The sequence below is a fragment of the Homo sapiens genome, chromosome 14 (genome assembly GCF_000001405.40).
Source record: "Homo sapiens chromosome 14, GRCh38.p14 Primary Assembly".
In the NCBI taxonomy this organism is placed as follows: domain Eukaryota; kingdom Metazoa; phylum Chordata; class Mammalia; order Primates; family Hominidae; genus Homo; species Homo sapiens.
Genome location: NC_000014.9, coordinates 98997475 through 99022764, shown reverse-complemented (window position 1 = coordinate 99022764; position 25290 = coordinate 98997475). Strand labels below are relative to the sequence as shown.

Sequence of the window (25290 nt, the reverse complement as noted above, 5' to 3'; positions counted from 1 at the left end):
TAGAAGGCAGATTATGTGGCAGACCTGGGCTTCTCCTCCCCTCCTGTCTCCCCAAGTCCAGCATGTCATGCAGCCTTCTTACCATTCTTAAAACATTTTAGATCTTTCAGGGAAGAGCCACTTTCTTGAGCTGGTGTGTATAGGCAACAGTAACAGCAGGTGACATACATGTGCTTACTCTGTGCTTGGCCCTCACTGTGCTAAGGACTGTACACGATTAACTCATGGGAGGTACCATAATTATGCCCTTTTTACTGGTAAGGAAACTGAGGCTCAGAGAGGCTGTTTAATTTAGCCAATGTTGCACTGCTAGTGGGTGGCAGAGCCAGAATCCAAACCTATGTAATATGGCCCCATGTCTATACTCTTATCCATTCAATTACGGTTTTTCTCCTCTAGTTTGGAAAACTCGAGTGTGAGAAAGCCTCTCAGCAAGCTTGCCTCCATTTGCTCAGTGCACTAGCTGAGGCTTCCGAGACAGGGTCATGACTGCCCTGCTTCCACCAGGGCGGCATGATGGGACCTCCTCTCCCATAGAAGCACCAGGTGACTCTCAAGAATTGCCACCCTGTCCCAGGGTCTGGAGAGAGACCAGGCCTTTTTTAATGCCTGAGAGTGAGAACGTTATTGGGTGAACACTTCCCTTTTATTTACAAGATGAGAATCAACTCCGGTGGTTAAATAGTTGATGTTGGCAAAAGAGTTAAGACAAGAATGTCTCCATGTTCTTAGAGGCCCATTTCCTCTCCTTCTTGCTTTACTTTCACTTCTCTCCCAACCGTTTACTTGTCTCTTCAAGTCCTCTAGGGAGAAAGGAGAAAACGCCTGGCCATCAGAGCATCTCTGTTCCTAAGTTTCCTTGCCTGGAAAAGCCAAAGCTTGGGTTGGACTGATCCAGTGGTTCACAACTGCAAGCATTTTTCCTTCTCAGGGGACACCTGGTAATATCCAGAGACATTTTTGGCTGTCACGCTGGTGTGTGTGAGTGTGTGTGTGCATGGGTGCACTGCTAACATCTAGTGGGTAAAACAGGGGATTTTGCTAAACATTCTACCATGTACAGGACAGTCCCCACAACAAGGGAGCATCCGGCCCCAAACGTCAACAGTGTCAAGGCTGAGGAACCCCAGATTAATTTATTAATATGAGAATCCCCACTCACTGAGTACCTACCACATGCCAGGTAGTGGAAGGAAACCAGAGATAAAAACAGACAAACAAACACGCAAAATAAAAAACCCAAAGCACCCTTAGACCCTGCACTCAAACAGCTTGTGATATAGTGGGAAAACCAAATATATACATTTTTTCAGGAATGAGAAATACCAGCAAGGAGATGGGCATGCGGTGTCATGGGGCTTGCAGAAGGCGACCCCAGAGAGGCCAGCAGAGGCCAGAGCTGCGGCCCCGCCCCCCGACCCAGTACCTTAGCACATGTTGTTCCCTGTGGCTGGAGGCTTATTTCTCAGGTATTTCACTCATCTCTTTGGTCCCTGCCCAAATGCCACTGCTTTGGGCAGCTGGGAAGATTTCCCTGACCCCCTGAGGTCCTCATAGAACCCCTGACTAGTATTTCTGGCATTGATCTGAGTTTGCATTTCACATTTGGTTTTCTGAGGATTTGACTATTGTCTGGGAACCTCTCCTGCACACACCATCCATTTATAAGCCTCCCCTATCCTGAAAACGGGATCTTAGCTCCTCCCACTCAGGGCAGCCCATCAGAGGTACTCTCTTGTGTATTCTGACTTCTCAGAGTCCCTGCTGCCTTTGAAGTAAAGCCCAAATGCTGAGCCCCACACCCTAGGCCCTTTGCCCTTTGCACTTTGCCCTTTGTGAACTGATTTGATTGCCCTCTGGCTCCAGACGGCTCCCACTTGTAGCTCATTCAATCCTTGGTTGCTGTGACCCTGTCCTTCTCTCAAGAGCCCAAAGTGGCTTTCTGCTTTCCTGCAGGTGGCCTTTTGCCCAGAAAGATCTGCACATTTCTCCCTGTGTCTGATTGGATCATAGGCTTCCTTGGATTATAGACTTGTTGCCTCCTCTTTCAGGAAGTCTTCCCTCTTTATATGCCTAAGTTAGGTGCTGGTATGGTTTGGATTTGTGTCCCTGCTCAAATCTCATGTGGAACTGTAATCCCCATTGTTGGAGAAGGGGCCTGGTTGGAGGTGACTGGATCATGGGGGTGGACTTCCCCTTTGCTATTCTTGTGATAGTGTGTGAGTTCTCATGAGATCTGGTTGTTTAAAATTGTGTGGCCCCTCCCTCTTGGCTCTCTTCTTCCTGCTCCAGCCATGTAGGACATGCCTGCTTCCCCTTCACCTTCTGCCATGATCGTAAATTTCCTGAGGCCTCCTAGCCATGCTTCCTGCACAGTCTGAGGAACTGTGAGCCAATTAAACCTCTTTTCTTTATAAATTTCCCAGTTTCAGATAGCTCTTTATAGAAGTATGAGAATGAACTAATACAAGTGCCTTCCTTTGTGTGGTCAGGGCATCCTGGGCTTACTGTGGTTTTCAAATATTTGTTGCACTGAAATTTCCTCGAGGGAGAGGATGGGTGGTGCTGCTGGCAGCATTTCCAGCACCCACCTCAGAGCCTGGCACATTCAAATATTTATTGAATGGGGAAATCAGTGGATACCAGTTCTAGGCCCTTCCTCCCCTCTGATTCCCTAGATCTTGTTGGGAATGGTTGAATTCACCTCCCTGGGGGCTACTCTACACCAGAAAATTCTTCCAGGTCCTGCAAGCCAGTTTTCTTACCTCCCTGGATGTAGATTTATGTTAAAACATTACTTTTTTGTCAAGCAGTGTTAGAACTGATGCCAAGCTCCTGTTTCAGTGATATAATGGCAATAAATAGAGGCAGAATTAAAAAAATAAGGAATAATTATAAAAATGACCAATGCAATTTTTGAGTGATCAAACAATCCCATTACATGTGTGCACTGATTGGCCCACTAAACTGGATGTGTGGCTAAATATGTTGAACTACCCAAATGTATGCTGCTCAGGACCCACAATATAACGGTGGTCTTAAAGATTTATATTTTCTTAGATCGTTAAGGTGTTAGATGGCCTCATTTCTCAGGTGTGCTTCTAGCTCTTTAAATCTCAGCAGCAGTACACATGGGTGGGTTCCATGCTTCCACTTCCATCACTCCCCTGGCATATGGTAAGTCTTCCTAAAGGTTAGCACAGGAAATGCTCCTCTGTGTCCAATGCCTTGTTAGGCACTGCGAGAAATTGCAGTATGAATTAGATCTGCTCTCTGCCTTCCAGGAGCTCCCTGTCTTACAGGAAAATTAGGACATACATATTCATACCATACCACAAATTCTAGAAAGTGAATGAGAAATACAGAAAAACTAGAACAGATTCAGAAATTTTGAAGCAGGAGAGAGAAATTCTACCTGAAATGTTCAGAGACGGTGGAAAAGATCATATTTGACATGGATCTTGAAAAATTAGAGATTTGAAAGAAAAATTATTCATGTAACACCTTGATGCATAAAGTTTAAGGAGAGATTAATCCAGGTAGAGAGAATGGCCGGAGAAAATGCCCAGAGGCAGAAAAATGAGGCCATAGTGACTTTGTTTCCTACATTTTCTCCTAGAAAATTTGTAATTTTAGGTTTTACATGTAAGTCCATGATCCGTTTTGAGTTGATTTGTGTATATGGTGTGAGGTATGGATTCAGGTTAATTTTTTTCCTGTGGTCAGTCCTGCTCGCAGTCTTTCCTGGGATCAGGTCCAGGTGTCCCTTGGAAAGGAAAGCCCTCACTGTCCACAAACATTTCAGAAATCACCAAGACACAGTGGTAAGAAACAGGGGTGTGGCTGTCCTTATGACTGATGTTTGGGAGAAGGCTGAGCGCTCCTTAAAAACACATGTGTCTTTGAGCTTTGGCTTTTTATTGTGGAAGGAGATTTTGTGAATGAGCATTTTAGTTTCTCACTGAAACCCAGGAAATGTGTACTGTTTTCTGTTTAGCCTCATCTGCTCCATAGCAGCATCTTGAGCCCTGGTGACTGCATGTTCCCCGTGTCCTGGGGACAGGGTGCAAACACATCTGGTGACCCCACCCCCATGGCGTACCAATGTTCCCAATGAGGAGACAGACTGCCAATGCACAACCACCAAAATATATGTGCTCCTTTGGCCTCCTGGTCCCCTAGCAATGGCCCTTGCATACAACTGGTGGTTAATAAATGCAGGCTGGAATGGAAGTGTGTTTGCCCAGAGTAAAACACACCTGAGCTAGAAACACACCTGAGAAATGAGGCCATCTAACATCTTAATGATCTAAGAAAATATAAACCTTCAAGGCCACCATTATACTGTGGGTCCTGAGCAGCCTACAGCCTTCTGACCAACTGAACATCTCCAGCCCAGCAGTTCCATTGTGTTTTTGAGAAAACCATCAAGTCGAAGTGAACGAAAGGGGAACAGGCTGACCTCACTCCCCATGGGAGTCTCCTGAACGTGCAAAGGAAAGAGCAGCAGATGCATGGCACCCGCCTGCAGACCACCAGCGGTCTGAGCTTCTATAAGGGCACTCTAAAGAAGAGAGGAAAAGCTAGCCCAGTGAAAGAAGACAGGATTCACGGGGACATCATCATCGCTGAAGCTACGACATGCAGGCACTGTGCCTGGCACTTCACATAGGTCTTGTGGTGAAGTCTTCCCCAAATCCCTGGAGGTGGAGGACAACCACCCCACCTCCCAGATGAGGAAACAGGCTCAGCAAGGCGGAGTTAGTCAGCCAGGGTAACCCAGCTGGTAAGTGGCACGGCTGGGTGGAACTCCGGGGTCCTGGCTCTTCCAACTACTTTTTGCTGCTTCCTGTCATTGGACTGGAAGATTCCCTGTTGCCCTTGCTGGCTAGGAGTCTCCAGATTCCTGCAGTCCCTTGCTCCTGTCCCGGACACTTGCTCCAGATGCTTGAGTAGGACCAGAGCAGACCCTGTGCCCCCGATCCACTGTTTGGGCATCTGTGATCGCAGCTCCCCTTGATGGCACATCGTGGTGTGTAGGGGGCTTATCCACACCACACAGACCCCACTGGACACCCCTGAAGACCTTCTGTGGCAGGCTCTGGGCTTCGTCCTACTGGTCCAGCCACTAGACCCTCAGGAGCACCCCATACAGGGAGAACCTGATTATTACAACACCTGCTTTCAGAGAGGGAACCCAGAGGAAGGGTCCCCATTTACCCTTGGGTGGTGAGAGACTTGGAGACAGAGACCAGGAAGGCTTCCTGGAGGAGGTGATGAGCCTGCTTGGCCTCGAAGGGCAAGTCGGATGTGAAACCCTGGTTCTCAGCTCTGGCTGTGCATGGAATCACCTGGTATTCTGTGCTGGGCCTTGAGGTTCTGATTCAGTTGGTCTTGGGTGGGATCTGGGCGCTGGCATTCTTAAAAAGCTTCATGAGCGATTCTAGTGGGCTCAGATACACCAAATTAGGAGAAGGGGAAAGAAGATGATCTTGAGTAGAGGCTTATTTCAACGCACCGACTTCTAGGACAGCATGGAGTTTGGGCGGAGGGGGAGGTCCGGAGGGCCACTGGGGCCAGGCCACGAAGGCCTTGGACCCTTGTTCAGGGCACTTGGACCTTATCTGAAAGGACCAGGGCAGGCCAGAGCACTGAAGGTCTTGGCAGGGGAAGGGCCTGCTGAACTCTGGACTTTGGGAGGTCCTCTGGTGGCATCAGAATGGAGTGGTGGTGGTGAATGAGCAAGTGAAGGGGTGAGATGGGGTGGTGTGTTGTGGGGAGGGCAGGGGGTGGGCCCAGCGGGAGTGGGTGGGGCCAGCTGATCTTCTGTACCCTCCTCTGAGAGGCCTGGAACATTTGGAGGTGGGGCCCCAGGGAGCCCAGAACAAAAGGAGATGCCCTGCACGGTGGCTCACGCCTGTAATCCCAGCACTTTGGGAGGCCAAGGTGGGTGGATCACGAGATCAGGAGTTCGAGACCAGCCTGGCCAACATGGTGAAACCCTGTCTCTACTAAAAATACAAAAAATTAGCTGGGCGTGGTGGCGGGTGCCTGCAGTCCCAGCTACTGGGGAGGCTGAGGCAGGAGAATTGCTTGAACCCGGGAGGATGAAGTTGCAGTGAGCCAAGATTGTAGCACTGCACTCCAGCCTGGGCAACAAGAGTGAGACTCCATCTCAAAAAAAAAAAAAAAAAAAAAAGAAGAGATGCCCTTGTTTCATAAGACAGTGTGGGCAGAGCCACAAGGAAGTCCTGGGGACAGGAATGGATAGGATGCAGTTCCCACCCCTGAGCTCCGATGCTCATCACATCGGGAGTTTTTCTGGATGGGGGCACAGGTTGCAGTGTGCACCTTGATGCAGACATTGCCTGGAAATGAACTTGGGCCTATTTCTTTCAATCAGAATAATTGAAATTGCACAGCCTGGGCTCTGTCCTATGCCCCTCCACCCCCCAGCTGCACCATCTCTAAACACTGAGGCACCTGAAGCAGCGGCCATTTGATGTATCATTAAATACACCTTCTCACACTTGGCACGTAAGCCCTGATAAAGTTTCACCTTTTAACGAAATAAATGACTCAATTAACAAGATGAAAAACAGCAGTGTGGTGGCAGGCCCACTTGGTGGCTGGAAAAAAAGGGCTGGAGAAGAATTATCCCAGCAGGGAGTTAATGTGGGCAGAGGCCCGGTGCGCGGTGGGCGTCCGCTGACTGCCAGCCTGCCAGCCTGGGGTGGACGCGGGCCTGCTCACCATGGCTGGGCGGGGGTTGCCCACATTCTGGGCTGGGGTCCAACCGGGGTTGTGGGATCCAGGGGCACTCCCCCAGGCAGGACCTGTGTGTGTGTACATGTGTACTCACGTGTGTGTGTGTGTGTGTGTGAACACAAATCCCTGCCTTTGCCTGCCCGAGCGCTTGGGATCATAGTCAGCCATGTCTTAGTGCTGAGGCTCCCCCATGCTAGGCTCTGTGCTAAATGCTTTATGTGTTTTATCTCTGTAGGACAGAGGCTGCCCTGAGGGGGCAGGACCCAGGGTCTGAGTTCAGGCTTCCTACAGCTTTGGAATAACAACTCTCCTCTTGGTTTCCATTTCCTCCTCTGCAGCTAGAGATAGCTGGACTAAGGCGGAGGTCTTACAAGGAGACAAAGGGTCTGTGGACAGGTCTGTGAACCTGGCTGGGGAAATGAAACTGCAGCTTTGTTTTCTCTACCCTCAGTTTGTAGAGTGTGCAGGACTAGGTAGGCATCGTATGCACAGTGTCTGTGATTCGGGTACTAATTGGAATCTCAGATATTTTCCTTTTCCATGGCCGTGGCTGTAGAAAATTCAAAATGCCATTTCCACTCCCCAATACTTTGAAATGATTGATAGTTATTAGACCCTCTGGTGGGCTTGTTATTTAATGCGTTAATAAAGAAGCACATGCATTTCTAGGTCACAAATCTGTTTTTAATATGTGATAACTTTCAAAATAATTGGTTTTCTTTGTCGTCATATATAGTTTATGGTATTTTATTTTATGCAGGCAAAACTTTATTCTGAGAAAAGGTCCCAGGCTTCACTCATTGGTCGGAAGATTCCATGGCAGGAAAATGACCAAGAGTGCCTGGGGGAGGGATTTCCAAGGGTCCTGCGAACTCCGACATCCTGGGAGTCCATGCGGTTGGCACACTCATCGTAATGGTGACCAAGTATGTGAGGTGCTCACTGCGTGTCCGTGCAGATGCTATTTTTAAATTGAGGTCTACTTGTGACATATGTCAGAGCCTCAAGCTCTTAAGGGTCCAGATAGATGAATTTTGACAAATGTATACGTTTCTTCAAACATCACTCTAAGCTATGGAGCATTACTATGCCCATACAGTTCCTTTGTGTCCCTTATTGGTCTATCCCCTCCCTCCCAGCCCCAGCTAAGAGGTGACTACTGTTTTGTGCCACCCAAAATATCTTTTCCCCGTCGAGACTCATGTAGAGGGAGCCATGTTATGTGCTTTCTTTTGCACCACTGTTTGCCCTCAGCATGTGCCTCTGGGATTCATCTCCGCGGCTGGATGAGTCTGTAGTCGCTGTGTCGTATCCCATTACATGAATTATATCCATTGTATGAATTATACTCTTTGTATTCTCATATTGATGAATTCAGATTGCCTTTATATTTTTTTCTTTTTGGTGTTACAAATGTGTGTACAAGTCTCTCAGTCACTTGCATGGCGGTGGAGTGATGAATGGAAGGCCAGCTGTCAGGTGGACCCCATCCCCTCTGAGGTCCCCCAGGCCCGACAAGCTACAAATGTGACTCACTGGTGTGGAGCACCTGCTGTGATGTGGGGCCTTCCCTAGGCCCTGGGAGCATCTGAGTTTAGCCAGCACTCCGCCCATTGCTTTTGCTTTCTATGTGGTTTGGTTTGGCTCTCCAGGCATAGGCACTGACCAAGAGGGGACAGGAGGCACTAATACAACTTCAGTGATGACCATGATCCAGGCCATGTGCCACAGCTTTCAGGAAGTCTCCCATGAAACAGATAGTGTCGCCCCCATTTTATAGATGAGGAAACTGAGGCTTACCCTCAAGCTAGCACGTGAGTAAGAAGTGAAACCAAACACGCACATTCAGGATTAGTGGGTGTCATGGATGGTGAAGGTCATTCTCAGATCTCGAGTGAGGGGATGGGGGGACCTGAGCTGGCCCCTCTAAATAGGACATAGCTCTGACACTAGACCACAGGGAACACAGCTTTTTAAGTGAAGTGACACATTTCATGTTTGTGTCTTGTTTATGAAATGAATCATATAACAAGTTTATTTCCTGCCTTCTCCACTGGACCCTACATCATAAACGTATTTCCAAATCACATGTCTTCTACATTGTTTTCTGAAATGTTCTTTTGTATAAGAATACCATGTATTTCTTATATCTGATTTCCAGTTATTTGACCTTTTGTTTATTTCAGTTTTTTTTTTTTTTTTGAGATGGAGTCTCGCTCTGTCCGCCAGGCTGAAGTGCAGTGGTGCGATCTCAGCTCACTGCAAGCTCCGCCTCCTGGGTTTACGCCATTCTCCTGCCTCAGCCTCCTGAGTAGCTGCGACTACAGGTGCCCACCACCACGCCTGGCTAATTTTTTGTATTTTTAGTAGAGATGGGGTTTCACTGTGTTAGCCAGGATGGTCTCGATCTCCTGACCCTTGTGATCCGCCCGCTTTGGCCTCTGAAAGTGCTGGGATTACAGGCGTGAGCCACCACACCCGGCCAGTATTTTTTTATATTTTTCATTTTTGCTATAATTAGTAATACTGCAGTGAGCATTCATGTAGATAAACCTTTTTCTATTTTGCCAATTACTTCAGATATATTTCTTGAGAGGGGCATGTACCCTCTTGGTCTGTTGACACATATTGCTGAATTGATTCCAGAAAGGGAGGACCAAGTTACGCTTTCATCAACATTTTGGACACCCCCATTTTTTTTTGCTCCTTGGCCAGTGCAATAAATAACGTTTTTAAAAATTTTACCTTTTTAAAATAACTTTGCTAAGTTCACAAGGAAAACAAAGAGAGCAGGATCGCTTTAGTTTGCATTTATTTGATTGATGGGGAAGTTGGAGAGTTTTTTACAAGCTTGGAACTTGTGTATTTTTTCTGTTTGGGGAGTTGCTTATTTGTGGCCTGCGTCTGTTTTTCATCCCCAGATAGCACCCACTGGCTCCGGCAGGTGTCCTCGCCCTGTGCTGCTCCCAGAAGCCTGCAGGCTGCACTTGCCACCCGGCGCTGGCCACCTACTCCAGCTTCCAGCCCGCTCTGCCTGGCCCAGCCATGGCTCTGAGCCCTCACCTCGGCCATGCCCGCTGTCTTGGCAGTGACCATGTGCCCTGTGCTCGGCTCTGCCTCCCAGTCAGGGCCATTGCTGCCTCCCCGGCTCCATTGCTAGTCCCACTCTGGCTGAGCATACCTCTAGGTCAGTCATCATGGAGACCGCCACCGGATCCTTGGGGCTGATCCCAGGCTCCTGGTCTGTGCCCTCCCTGCTCCTGATGGGCTGGCTCCAGCCTCTTGGGCAGGATCTAGAACCTGGACACTGACCATGAACACACAGGAGAAAGAAAATACAATAATTTTGTCCTTAGGGAGGGCACAGCCACCGACATGGACAGACATTTTGATGTCACTAGTTCCAAATTCCTAACCCATGGCTGGGTTCCCACTTACAACAACAGGCTGTTTGTTGACAGGCCTGGTATTGGACCTGCGTCTTCCTCTGTGTTTTTAGGGACTGGAGCTCACTGCCTCCCAGGGTGGCTGTTCCATTTCAGGCCAGTCTGCTTAGCTGACGCTTTGAGGCTGTAACATAGCACCCACTTATGGTCTTTGTTTGGGTTCTCCTGAAAGCAGAGACCAGGGCAAGGACTCAGGTGCAGACAGCTTGTTTGGGAGGGAGTTGGGCAAGTGAGGTAGGGAAGGGGAGAAGCTGATAAAAAGGAGTTGCCCCGCTGGTCACCACTGCAGGCAGCCGGGGCTCCAGGTCTCTGGGGATTCCGATGAAGTGTGCAGGGCAGGCCTTTGGGTGTTCCCTTGAAGGATGGGAGGCAGGGGCTCCCGATCTCTTGGGTGATTACTGTTTTGGGGAATGCCACATCCCATGCTCCGGGTTGCACCTGCTCTTGGGCAACGCAGTCTTCTGTGGCTTCAGAGGAGCAGTGAGACCCCACTGTGGGTACTGGTGGTGGGGTATTGACAAAGCGCATGGAGGCGACCACCAGAGCCGCACTCAAATCACAGGGCTGAAGGAAGGGGGTCTGTGTGTGCTTCACTTGCAGGACCACCCTCGGGGGTGAGAGGGGCATGTGAGGGGCTGAGACTGCAGAGTGAGTACCTGCATCAGGCACAACAATGGGACCTTCCATCCATTCTTTCTCCTGACCACCACCTATGTTGGCTCGAGATCCCCAGAGTAGAGGTGTCCTGGCTACACCTGAGAAGTCTTTGTGGGCTCCCTGCCTAGGCACTGTGCTGTCCAATGTTGGGTCTCAGGCCTCCACATCATTGACCCATGGCATTTCCCAAAGTGGAACATGAATATCTGGAGAGAAAATTCTATGACCAAGTAAGTCTGGGAAACCTTGTATTTTGTATCCCCTCTTGGAGAGTCACAGTGGAAATTCACATAGTAAAGGCTCTGAGAAGTCCTGCAGCCAAGAAATGTGTTTCACTTTGTTGACTCCAGGGTTTACCTCCCTTGACTGACTATGGGGCATCAGCCTAGCAGCATCTGAGGAACACGCTTGCCGAAGCCTCATTCTGTGGCGTACACCCTGGAGCCGACTGTGTATCCTTATATGTAACCACAGTCACGGTCACTGCTTCGAGGTGAAGATCAATTCATGCCTCTCCTTGCCCTCCCAGACGAAGTGCATGTGGCGCCTTGCTGCCAGCTGGACTTCCTGGAGCCCTCTGGGGTAGATGGCCTCTTCTGAAGCCAGGGCTGCCTCACCCATGTGCAGAGGGGCGCTCTCCCTGCTCCTCTGCCTTCTGGCTGGGGCCCAGCCATGCTGTTATTATTCCAACTTGCTGGAGCTCCTGGAGGGGACCCAGTGCTTCCTGCATGAAGACTCACCCTGGCAGCTCTCTCCCCACCAATGCAGAGACCCCTCTCCCCCAGGTCTACTTGGGTGGCCCCCATGTGTCCTCCACTTCCCTCTCATTTTAGTGAATGATGAAAGTTCTCAAGATCAAGATCAAAAGGATTTCTAAGGACAGAACCAACACATTGGCAGCTTCTTAAAGCCGAGCTCAGCAGCAAGGTGCTGGATGCCAGGCAGAGAAAGGGGCTGAAATGGGCCTGCAATGCTAGTGTGGGAGAGTGCCCTGATGACAGGCAGTCTCTGTGATTGCTGCGGTTGTTCAAGCTCAGCTGGCCACAATGCCTCTCTTTTCTGTTTCTATTTTTCTCTTAAGCCTCAACTACTGTTCCAGAGCTGAGCCTTCTCAGGATTCATTGCAGCCAATGGTCCATTTTCTTTGGATCCCATTTGGGGTGATCTTCCCTGCTTTTATCTTACTTCCCAGGCCCCTCTAACCTCGACCCTTCAATTTTTCCTAAGTTCTGGAATACATAAAGGGGCAAAACCTCCATCCTGATGGCAAACACAGCCTTTTCAATGTGGGAAGGTGTGCTTTCTTTGGTGCTGGGGACATTTTTGCCTTGGTACTCAGTGACACTGTAAGCTTGACAGGCCCCTCTTTTCTGCCAAAGGAGAGGACAGGCAAATATATTTTAGCAATGGCAGAAGAAAGTAATTGAAGGGTGTGGAGGTGCCCTAGGCACCTGATATGGTTTGGATCTGTGTCCCTGCCCAAATCTCACGTTCAGTTGTAATCCCCAGTGTTGGAGATGGGGCCTGGTGGGAGGGGACTGGATCACGGGAATGATTTCTCATGAATAGCTTAGCACTGTCCCTTTGGTGCTATTCTTATGATAGAGTTCTCATGAGATGTAGTTGTTTAAAAAAGTGTGTAACACCTCCCCCGCCCTCCTCCTGCTCTGGCCATGTGAAGTGCTTGCTACCCCTTTGCCTTCTGCCATGATTGGGAGCTCCCTGAGGCCTCCCCAGAAGCAGAAGCTGTTATGCTTCCTGTACAGCCTGCAGCAAGGCTTGCCCCTGTCTGGGGAGGGCGAGGAGAGGCATGCATAGATCTCCACTTCAAAGCAGGAACCATGACTGTGGTTACATATAAAAATACACAGTCGGCTCCAGGGTGTATGCCACAGAATGAGGCTTCAGCAAGCGCGTTCCTCAGATGCTACTAGGCTGATGCCCTGTAGTCAGTCAAGGGAGGTAAACCCTGGATTGAACAAAGTGAAACTGCACAAGGACAGACGAACACAGCATCCTTTCACTCCTCATGGCCTTTTGCATAAACCTTCTCCAGCTCAGGCGTCTTTGCTTCTTTGAGCCCCAGTTCTTCATCCATAAAATAGAGCTAAGATCATAGACCTCACTGGGCTGTTGGGAGAATGAAACAGGCTTCTGCTCTCACAATGCCTGCCAGAGCTAGGGTGGAACGAATGCTCTCTTTCTCCCTCAACTGTGATGTGAGTACCTGTACTAGCCTATCCTCACACTGCTATAAAGAAATACCCGAGAATGGATAATTTATAAAGGAAAGAGGTTTAATTGACTCGCAGTTCCACATGGCTGGGGAGGCCTCAGGAAACTTGCAATCATGGTGGAAGGCAAGGGGGAAGCAAAGACCTTTTTCACATGGTGGCGGGAGAGAGAAGAGTGAGGCTGGGAAAATGCTAGATGCTTATAAAACCATCAGATCTCATGAGAACTCCCTCATTATCAGGAGAACAGCATGGGGGAAACTGCTCCCATGATCCAGCCACCTCCCACCTGATCTCTCCCTTGACATGTAGGGATTACAGGGATTATAATCTGAGATGAGATTTGGGTGGGGACACAGAGCCAAACCATATTGGTACCTTACACCACACATTGGTAGGGTATTTGTAAATCAGGTAGAGGGAATGATTAGATGACTTCCAAGATATTCCATGAGAAAGCAAGTTGCCACCTGTAAAGCACCGGACACATCATTGCAATTATCCTCACCTCAATGCCACCAGGTCTCATGACACCCAGTGATGCGGTATTAAATGGATCTGTGGAAAAATAGGTCATTGATTTCTCAGCCCACAAAATTTTACAATTTAGTGGTTCTAAGATATCTCTATGGACCTGATGTGATGTTGGAAAAAAAAAATCCTTTGGAGCCAGACAGACATGAGTTTGAAGCCTGGTGCTACCACTTCACAGCTATGTGACCTCGGGCAAGCCAGGTTATCTCTCCCTGGCATAGTTTGCTTATCTGGAAGGTGGGAAGACCACGTCCTGACTCACAAGGCTGCAGGGCGCTCCAGTGAGGTCCTGAAAAGTGTCCTGGTGATAGGACGGGGCTGTAGAAACAAGCCCAGAGGAAATTGTGATGGGGTGGGAAAGGAACTAAGTTCAGCATAAGATGGTCTTAGTTTAAATCTGAGGTCACTTTCTTATTGGCTGGATGACCTTGGGCAGGTCAGCTGGCTTCAGTTTTTCTTGACCATAAAATGGAATGAGACGGAAGAGCAAAGGCAGGAGAGTGGGCAGCAGTGCTCTGCAGTGAAAAGACCCCATGCTCTTGTCCTCGGCAGCTCAGGGGGGCCTATAGCTCAGTTCCCAGGGTTACGAGCAAACACTGTCGCCCCAACTAGCCCTTTGAGGAAGCTTGGGATGTGTCAGACACGGCAGCCCACCCATGCTCCACCTTAGGGACCTGCTGACCAGCCCACAGAGCCCAAGGGGCAGCCCTTTGGACATATGGCCACGTGGCTGTGGCTGCAGCTGGCGGGACCAGCTTAGGGTGGACACCTCACCTAATGGTAAATTTTGTTTTTCCTCCTTGGAAACTTCTCTTGGAATTAGAACCCAGGGAGGCTGAATTGGGTGGCTCTGTGGGCTTGACCTGTGAGGGGTTGACAGCCATGGCGACTGCCTCTGGTGGCCTGTGCCCCAGCAGGTGAAGCCAATCTGTGGAGAAGAGAGAGGGGAGAGGCAGAGGCAGGAGGGCAGGAGACCCCAGAGAAACGGGTTGTGTGTGTGTGAATGTGTGTGTGTGTATGAATGTGCATGTGTGAATGTGTGTGCGTGTGTGAATGTGTGTGCGTGCATGTGTGAATTTGTGTGGGTGTGAATGTGTGTGTGCATGTGCATGTGTGTGAATGTGTATGCATGTGTGAATGTGTGTGTGCGTGGGTGAATTTGTGTGGGTGTGAATGTGTGTGTGCACGCACATGCAATGGTGTGAATGTGTGTATGTGTGCATAAATGCGTGGATATGAATGTGTGTGTGCATGTGTGCCTGTTGATGTGTGTGTGCGTGTATGTGTGTGTCAGATATGGGGGATAAAGCCAGAGAAAAACACAAACTTCTGTTCTCCACGGTTGGCCCCAAGTGTCAGCCCCATTTTGTTGTCCTCCTGCCCCGAGATTTCAGTTGCCCCTCCCCTGCCTCATCCCCTCACCCTCTGTCCCCTGTTTGAGCAGATTGAGTGGGATTCCTCTCCCGGTGGTCATCATGTCCGGAAAACACCAAGCTGGTGTCCCTAGTTCATGGAAACCGAGGCTCAGTAATAGCCAGGCAGGTGTCTGGGCCGTCACGTCCGACACCTGGGCACCTGTCAGCCTCCCGTACCCTCGAGCTGCCTCTCTGTGGGTGGCTTCCAGAGCAGGACCATCACTGGCTCCTGGCGTGGGCAGTGGAGACAGCGTCAGGATGAGCAGGCGGCCTGCTCTCTAATGCCTCAGAAGGAGGGGCCGAGCTGATGAGCTAAGGCCATTTTCTCTGTTGATCTTGGCTGGCCACACCCTGGAGCCAGGGGCCTGTTTGGGGATCACAAACCAGATATTGGAATTCTGGGTTCCAGGTGGATATTCTCTGGGTTGAGCAAGGAGTCCAGGAACAGAGATTGGGCACGAGTCCCTTGAGGCCAGTGTCCGGCCTGTTTCCAACCCGGCTCCTTCTTGTGTGTTCCTCCCAGTGTGGGCCAAGAGCTGGGCCTCCCTGACAGGCAAGGACTGCAGGACACAGGGCTTGGAGGGGCTGAGGATAAAGGCCCAGGAGTCCCACACTCCCCGGGAACCCTCTGGGCCCCGAGCTCCCTCGGCGTCCTGTCCTGCCCTCTGTCTGCTGCCCCACTCCCATGCATCTCCTCCTTGACTCTGAACTCAGGGAGACAGCTTTGTGCCCGCAGAACATGGCTGGATGTTTTGCAGTGATTAAAGAATGAGTGTTCTTGAGCAAAGGAAGCCTTTGAGAAGAGAGGAGAGCAGGGGGCACTCGGCCTCCTTGTGAGGTCTGCAGCCCATGGCCTGCCGGGAAGCGTCTGGAAGAACCTCACCATGGACCCTCCCTGCAGTCTGGATGGCCCAGGCCTTAGTCACTCAACATACATGATATTGAACTGTGAAAGGTCTCCAACCTGTGTCCGAAAGCCTCCATATATACCAATTACAATACAGCAACCCATGTTGGATTTGCTTCCAATTTGTAATTAGAGTTGATAAACAAGGGAAACCTGCATTTATTAGATGGCTGGTTTGGAAGCCTCACTAACCATTTTCTGTGGTCGGTTTCAATTGTTTCTTTCCTGCATGTGAAAAATGCACTGTGATGTAATTCGAATATGGGTCTACTTTATGGGGTGGAACTGTCAGTCATCCTGACTCAGGAGTTGGGCTGGACTGCTGGCCAAGACTCACTGGGGGCCCACCAGACACTTCGCTGGAGTTTCGACTCATCCGTGGGGCTCCAGCCAAAGGCAATTGTTGATTTGCATTCTATGAAAAATCCCACTTTTTTTGCTTTCTCCAGATAATTTTACTCCCTTTTTAAGAACTCCTCTAGCCAAAAGTGATTACTCTGAGGCTTATGTCCTGGAAAGTCCTGGAGTCAGAAAGAACCGAATTTGAAATGTGTCGTGTATCTTCTGTGTTATGATTGGCAAGTCATTTTCCTTTCCAGGGTTTCATATGCCAAATGGGGCTAAAATAGCTTACACTGGAAACGTATTTTTTTGCATCAGATGAGACAGCAAATAAAAAGGCTTTGCAGGTTTAATAAAAACTCAAACTACACTGTATACATTTTCTCAAGTATTGCTAGTTAAATAGTTAAAAAATGAGCTGGCCATCACAAGGCATGTTGTTTAGTCAAAAAAAGTGACTCCTGCATGTTTCATTTAGTCATTCTGCAATTATTAGGCACCATCTGTTTTCAATGACGTGCGATGTATTCTGTTGAAAATAAAATGGCTTTAGATACCATCTTACTGTCTGGTAAGAGAAAGAGGACGTGGTATTGATAATGGCAAGGTCCCTTCACCCTAGGCTATTTCTTTATTTTTATTTTACTAAATGTATTTACTAAATCAAATTAGAATATATTTGGAATAAGGCTGGGGACAAAATAATTTAGCTCTAGTGTTTGAAATAATCAAACATCTGGAAGAAATATGATTGTTAAGGTCCAGTTTTATGCCGCGAGCCATGGGCATTCTTGGCATTGGAGTGTTGGGCTTCTGGGTGCTCTAGAGAGTTCTAGGTCTCAGGCTGGACAGCCTGACCATTAAAAACGGCTGAGCCAACGGCATAGAGTCCAGGGCTCCCTTCACAGGCATGCGACCTGGGCAATCACACGAGGTCTTGTGCTCAAAAGGGCCCCATGCTTGCTTTAATGCTCTGATCTTTGTGTCTTGAAATTCTTTTTTTAAAAAAATTTTTCTAAAAAAATTAAGTTCTGGTGTACATGTGCAGGATGTGCAGGTTTGTTATATAGATAAACACGTGCCATGGTGGTTTGCTGCACCTACCAACCCATCACCTAGGTATTAAGCCCAGCATGCATTAGCTCTTTTCACTAATGTTCTCCCCCGCCACCCTCCCACAACAGGCCCCATTGTGTGTTGTTCTTCTCCGTGTGTCCATGTGTTGTCATTGTTCAGCTCCCACTTATAAGTGAGAACATGCAGTGTTTGGTTTTCTGTTCCTGTGTTAGTTTGCTGAGGATAATGGCTTCCAGCTTCATCCATGTCCCTGCAAAGGACATGATCTCGCTCCTTTTCCTAGCTATATAGCATTCCATGGTGTATATGTGCTACATTTTCTTTATCCAGTCTATCATTGATGGGCATTTTGGTTGATTAAGTCTTTGCTATTGTGAATAGTGCTGCAGTGAACACACGCGTGCATGTATCTTTATAGTAGAATGATTTATATTCCTTTGGGGATATACCCAGTAATGGGATTGCTGGGTCAAATGGTATTAATTTTATTCCCAAACTTAGGTTTTGTAAGTGAAGTTCAATGGGACAATGGAGCATGTGCCTTGAGTGCAACGTGCATGTCCCTGCTCCCTGCTGTCCCATTCACATGTGGCCTTCTCAATGTCTTCTTGACAGAATGTTAGTGGACCCCCCGGTGTGTAGAAGTTCAGCAAGATTAAAAGCCAATACAAGGTGAGCATGTCCTGGAAAACTTTCAGCTTCCATAGAATGTTGGCAGAATATGCACGTATGAAGAAGTGAAATAAAAAAGTGGAGTTAATTTTCTGCAGCGTTTCCATATTTCTGGTAAGAATGAAATAAACATGCATATACAAGCTGCAAAGTACAAATTGTATAATTTTGTTTATTCTATGCATGAGTTAAATGCTCTTATATTTGTGTTTAAACTGGAATTGCACGATATAAAGATGTATGATACACTTCATGCTAATAATTTAAGTTTAATTTTTCTTTACTTAGAATGACAAATACATAGCAAACAAAGACACCGTGACAAGTAGGGAGAGAGAGGAAGGAACAGTGAGGGTACATTTCAGTACCTTGCAGGGCACGTTTTTCCTGCTTTTGGAGCAAGTGCCTCTGCTTCTACATTTTACACTGTGCCCCACAGATTATGCAGCCACTGCTGACCAAGTCTTTTGTTGGGATTGAGACACAGATGTATTACACCATATTCTAGCAGGATGAGGGTTTGCAGAAGCTCATATAACAAAGTGTCCAGAATTAGAGTTGAACCTACTCTACCAAGGCTTCATAGGAATAACCAGGTGGTGGGAATTGGTGAGAAGGAATCTCTTCCTTTTGGAAGTTGGATTTTCCTTGGAATTGTATATATGTGGTGTGATTATTCTTGTGGTGGACTAAGGCCCAGAGAAGTGCAGTGTTCCACTCAAAGTCACACAGTTCATCAGCTGCAGGGTAGACCTGAACTCAGGCATCTTACATCCTGATGGCCAGAGTCCTCAGCCTATCTTTTCTACTCCACACTTGGAAGCCAGGTGGGCATGTTTCCTCATCTGTGCCTCTTTGATTGTGTAATGTGCACTCATTCTTCAAACATTCAGTGAGTTCTACCTTGTGTTGGGTCACAGGCCTGGTGCTGGGGAGATAGCTGTGCTAGCAAGGAGTGTGGGCTATTGGTTATGAGCTTGGTTTCTGGAGATGGACAGAATTGGGTTCAGAGGGCAGCCCTCCCCCTCATTAGCTAAGTGATGCTGGCCATATCCATAGAGCATTTGAAGAGTTCCTGCCCTGCCTGGGGCCATTAGTATGGCAGTGAGCAGATGGGTGCACTTCCCTCCTGGAGGCTAGAGCTAGGGAGATAGACATCAACAAAGCTACTACAAAAATATTTATTTACTCTGTGGTAAAGGCTATGAAGGAAATGTGCAGGATTCAAAGGGAGATTGTAACAGAGAAAGTTACCAAATTTTTAAAGTCTCATTTTCCCACCTGCAAAATGGGAATAATAAAACCTATCTCAGAGGTTCATGGGGAGAATTAAGAGAGATACTTCAGGCCAGGTGTGGTGGCTCATGCCTGTAATCTCAGCACTTTGGCAGGCTGGGGCAGGCAGATCACTTGAGCTCATGAATTTGAGACCAGACTGGGCCACGTGGCGAAACCCCATCTCTACTAAAAAATACAAAAATCAGCCAGGTGTGGTGGTGAGCGCCTGTGGCCTCAGCTACATGGAGGGCTGAGGTGGGAGGATCACTTGAGCTGGGAGGTGGAGGCTGCAGTGAGTCGAGATCATGCCACTGCACTCCAGCTTGGGCAGCAGAGTGAGAACCTGTCTCAAAAAAAAAAAAAAAAAAAAAAAGAGAGATCGGTACCTTATGTGTGTACTAGCTGCTTTTAAAGGGAACTATTTGGGAAGCACAAATTTGGCCCAAATTTGGACCACTGAACTCTTTTGCCTTCCTTTAACATACGATGTCCATACTTTATCTTTGAAAGAAAGTCAACTATTATATTTATTCTCAATAAACGAAGTTGCCTTTCAACTATTAATAATTACTGTTAGCTATATTTATTATAGACAGAGTTGTAGTTTAAAAGAATCTGGAAAAACCCTAACAGTTCACAAAACATTTGGGGTAAAAATTTAAATTTCTCCCAAGCACTATATGATGGTGTTTACTTGGATCATTCATCAATTAAATGTTCCTTCTATTTAATAACATCATCTAGACACCTACAGGAAAGATCCCACTGTGAGTAACCTCACCTACATTTTGTCTTATTCAAGCCTCGAGACAGGGCCCTTGCTTTGTATATAATTTTTTTGGCCGATGCTAATACAATGGTCTATAATAAATATATTCAATTAAATAATATAAAGTACTAACACATAGTTTTCTTATGAATATTTAATCTCTTGTTTATAGTAATATTTTTCTTCTAAGGACTATATGCTTAAATATTTATTCTCACCAGGAACTGTATTTTGTATCATGATAGAAGTTGGGAAAATGACTAGGAAAACTCAGTGATTACCTGGGGAATAAAAACAGCATCATATGAAACTTACGTGAAAATAAAATATACCAAAAAAAACCCATAAAATGTTAAAGTATAACCATTTCTAAATGATCACTTAAAAAGGGTTCCAAAGAAACATTTCTTCTAGTTCCTGTTGTAACATACAAGTTAATATTAAAAATTCTTGAATAAAGACGATGGTTGTAAAATTCCGTGAATACACTGAAAACCAATGAATTAAACGGAGGAATTGTACAGTATATTGGTATGTGAATTATATCTCAATAAAGCGGTTTTTAAAAAGACTGAAAAAACCTCTCCAAAAACCGAATGTCACTCTTCTCCCCTTTTTGTTAAAATGAGCAGAGGGGCTGCTAATAACTATATTCTGTCCTCCAGCCATCTGCGGAAGGGCTTCTCTAAAACCAGTCAGCTAAATAACCAAACAGCCAAACCTAAGCTTGTATTCCACAGCTGCTGTGAACAAGGACACACAAGGCCACTTTCTTTAGGAAGTTTCCCCTACGCTCACGAGGGGGATGAAACGTGCCGTCTTCCCTGATGTTTCATCCTGGCTCTGTTGGGTTGTTTTTGGTGACATTGAACAGAAAATCTGGCCCAGTGAGGCATACATAATGGCCCTCATATGTAAAGAGAAGTCCAGAGGTATGTGAGTTTCAGGTGCTGAATATCAGGGGTTGGGTGGGTGCTTGGTTCTGATTTTTTGTGATTCTCTGGGTCCTGCTTGATGTGTGAGCTTCACCCTTGGGCTGGTAGCAAAATGGTGGCAGCAGCAACTCTTGCTTCCCATGAGCCTCTTCTTATCATCTGGGACGACTTTTCCCAGAAGCACCAGGGAGAGGCCCCTCATGCCACATCTCATTGGCCAGAAGTGAGTCACATGTTCACACCAGAACTCATTGCTGGCTCAAGACATGGAGTTACGCCATCTGGCATAGACCAATCAGGGTCTCCCCCAGAACGGGGCTTGCCAGTTCCTGAATTCCATGGTGAGCTGGCAGTTTCCCCGAGCACCATCAGGGCTTCTGATAGGAAGAGACAGCAGGCGAATGCATGCTGGGAAGCAGCCGTACGTTCTCCCTGGGCTTCATCCTGCTTGCCTATCTATACTTTGTGCCCCTTTTCTGGATGCCTGAAGGCCAAGGCCAGGGTCTTTCTTATCTCTGAGTCTTCCTCACTGCCTGACACCCAGGCTGTAATCCTGGGAGTGAGCTGATTAGATTGCTTTCTTTTTAAAGGGAATTAAAACAAAAACCCAAATGCTATGAGCGCATAACGAATATGTAGACACTGCCATCCGCTGTTGTCTTTGGTGGTACTTAAAAAAAAAAAAAACCTTAGCACTGACAGCATGCTTACAAACCTGCTATATCTGCAGTGAGCAAACAATTTCATTTTGCAACAATAACAGGCAACTCCTGACGCACGTTCATGCTAACCGCTTTCTTTTCGGCAGGCAGCCATCTCCCTTCTGTTGGTGAAATTGGCCTCTCCTCATCTTCCCGGTATCTTCTCCCAGAGTCTACATCCTTTGGGGGGTTTGCTCATAAGCTCAAATCAGGCAAATTCCCTCTTTTTAATACACGGAGGCATATACAAAACATTAATACTAAAACAAAACCTACCTGCACACAGATCCTTTTTTATCTGTGATGTTTGTCTTCAAACTTCCAAAATTTGTTTTCAATCCATCCTTGAAATCCAGAGGAACTTTCTCTGGATCATTAACAATGGAATGTCAACAGAAAGCGAGGCCTGCCACTGTGCATAAGAAATGGGTGTGGAACCAAGGAGAGAAAAAAGAGGAAGAGTAGAAGAATCTTTACTCCCTCCCTTCAAAAAGTCACACTTTACTATTTCTCTCTCATTTTCATCAATCACCAGGGCAATACCCCCTAGATCAATGCATTAACTTGTTTGTTTTTTACAATGAAGAAAAACTTCATAGCCTCATCATTCATTCCAGAGTGTGGGGGAAAAAAACAAAAGCCAGCCACCGAAATTTGCATGGTGCTCAATTATACATTAGTGAACATCACTTGGCAATCTGTTCATATCAATTTAATTGGATTTTAATACTGCCTCTGATCTTGTTTTCTAATTAACAGCAGTGCTTGGAAATAAAGCAGAACCATGCACCCAGCAACACCTTTGATCTCGACCATATGGAGCCCCACCAAGCTCTGGAAAAAAAATCTCCCTTGCCTCCACAGCCGGCCGAGAGAAGCGGGGGCCCCCAGATGGCCAGATACCATGGGCGCCCGCACCCCATGGCTTGTCTTGTCTTCTGATTGGTCCCCAGTGCAAAGGCAGGGGACTCGCTTCTCACGCTGGAGGCAAATCCGTGTCCCCAACGTTGGTGAGGTTGACAGTTTTCACAACTCGGTTTTGGGGGGGAAATATTTGAGTAAACAGCCCTGACCCTGTTGGGTTTGTTTTAGAGTGGAATCTCACCATCAGGACAGAGCAAAAATGTCATGGGCCCCTAGACCAGTGTGGAAAGCTCACTAAACCATTTTTCCAGCTGAGGCTTTTTCCTCTCTTTCTTTTGTTAAATCCTTGGGTCTCTAACTTTGCTGATCATCGTCTTGAGAATTGACCACATGGGAAGACTGATTTACACACTGGGTCAGCCTGAGAAGGAAAAAGCCCATGACCAATGACATCGGGGGGCCCAGAGGGAAGCCGGCTGAGGCAGAGGGAGCAAGTGGGCCGTGGCCAAGGGCCAAGGACCTGCATCCTCATCTTCCTCTCACCAGCATGGGGATTGGCAGGTTTAAGAGGCAGTTAGGAGAGGCAGGTGTGAGTAATGGGAACAGCACTGGCTTTCACCAAGCAACCAGGTTCACGACAGCCGTCATGTGACCTCGGGCACGTGACTCCACCTCTCTGTGAGGCAGTTTGCTCATGGATTCTTCTGCAATTCTGAAACATGAAAGTGCCAAAAGTCAACGCTTTGATAATTTCATAGCAGACTCATGTGGTGGCAAAGCCTGACCTGAGCTGACGTGAGACTATTTGTAATCTTTATTTATGCTGCTTAATGCAGGTACTCATTCATTCTGCTGTGGAAATAGTCCTGTCTGGGACAGTCGAAGGCTGCCCTAGACTCCATTGGGATATTATATGTTTACTTTTGTAAAATCCAAAATATCCTGGATTCTAAACCACACTGGGCCCCAGGAATTTAAGAATAGGGATTTTGGACCAGAGCCTTCCTCTGGGATGTCAGTTAATCAACCTAGAGCAGTGATTCTCTCCAGGGTGATTTTATTCCCCAGGGAACATGTACCAATACCTGGAGACATTTTTTATGATTGTAATGTGTGTGTAGGGTTCCCACTGGCGTCTACTAGGCAGAGTCCAGGGATGCTGCCAAACATCCTACAATACCATAGGACAGACAAAGAATACTCCAGTCCCAAATGCCCATCATGCTGAGGGTGGGAAACCCTAATCCATAGAATAGTACACATTCTAGCTTTATTCTTATTTCACCACTCTGAGCTCCTCTTCCTTCATCTGCCAATTGGAGGGCATGAACAACTGCCTCCAAGAGTTCTGGGGAAACCGTATGAGACAGTAGACGTGACTGTGCCTTCTGAACTTTACCGCTCAATAGAAAAATGAAAGACAGTTTACTCATTCAAAAAATAAAGTGTCGGCTGGAGCTGGTGGCTCATGACTGTAATTCTAGCACTTTGGGAGGCCAAGGCGGGTGGATTGCTTGAGCCCAGGAGTTAGAGCAACATGGCAAAATCTGTCTCTGGAAAAAAATACAAAAAAATTAGCTGGGCGTGGTGGCACACGCCTGTGGTCCCAACTATTTGGGGGTCTGAGGTTGGGGGATCACCTGAGCTCGGGAGGTCGAGGCTGCAGTGAGCCGTGATTGCACCATTACACTCCAGCCTGGGTGACAGAGCAAGATCTTGTCTCAAAAAAACATAAAACCACCACAAAAAAGAATAAAGTGTGTTCTTTGTAACCCTGGTCTTCATGATAAACACCTGCGTATATACCATGGGTGCTAGGCAGTGTGCAAGACACGTGGAGAGGGATTCATGGTCTCCCCTTTCAGGGAACTTGTAGCCTAGTTACTCTCCTGCTAGAGGTAACCATTTATAACTTGATCTATAATTTAGATGTTCTTGAAAGCAATATTTCCTTTGACTTGTTTTAACCTTTAGACTTCCCACTTTCCGAAGAACCCCAGCCCACGCACACACACCCCTTGTTGCTAATTAGAGAACTTTGATATGCAGGAGAAAGCACTAATAAAGAACCGTAAATAGCAGGTCCTGCCTGGCTCCTGCCTCCTCTGAGCTCCTCTCATTCCAGCTGGAACCACTTCACCCCTACTTGCAGGCTTAACCCCAAAGCTAGATTTCAGGAACAGCATTGCCTATGTAGTGGGGGCCCTGGAGCAAGGAGCTCTCTACTCTGTTAGCTCAGCTTCGCGTCTTCATGGATTTAATCCACCTCCACACTTGTGGACTGTTTGTGGCCTGTGGGCTTTGGTCTTGTCCCAGGTCCTGGTCTCCTGAGTCCCAGGTTTGGAAACTGGGCTTCTTTGCTGTGGTACTTCCTGGTGACTCAGGTTGTTCCAATCCCTTTACACTTTGCCCTTCCTTGTGCTGGTATAGGCTCTCCCTGCAGATATTGGATCCTGGCTCTTAGCAACCAGTGAATGGCAGACCATTTAGATGTTGCCTGCCTGTTCCCCGACCCTGTCCTTGGGTACCTGTGACCCTGATCCTCTGTGAGGCAGGGCATTTTATGGAATAGGCCATTCTGGGATGTAGAGGTCAATTCAAACTGTTATTGCTGGAACACAGTGACTTCTGCTTGAAGGACCTTTGATTGGCCACAGTCCTTGCTATAGTGTCCTGCATTCACTCTGGTGT

At 47.5% G+C, this 25290-nt stretch overlaps 1 long non-coding RNA gene across 1 annotated transcript in view, besides 1 other annotated feature; it reads left to right on the top strand.

The window, feature by feature from the left end:
• The window catches only part of LOC107984696 (uncharacterized), a 76716-nt gene extending 53376 nt beyond the window's left edge, over window positions 1-23340 (top strand). The window contains exons 2-3 of the long non-coding RNA XR_001750878.3: window positions 17996-18052; window positions 22495-23340. This is a non-coding gene — a long non-coding RNA (uncharacterized LOC107984696). The remainder of the gene's footprint in view (window positions 1-17995; window positions 18053-22494) is intronic.
• Window positions 21958-22902: an enhancer, noted in NCBI's record as "VISTA enhancer hs622". NCBI's record gives its function as "enhancer in: forebrain[5/9]" and the evidence as "EXISTENCE:transgenic organism evidence [ECO:0001131][PMID:17130149]".
• Window positions 23341-25290: the final 1950 nt, after the last annotated feature.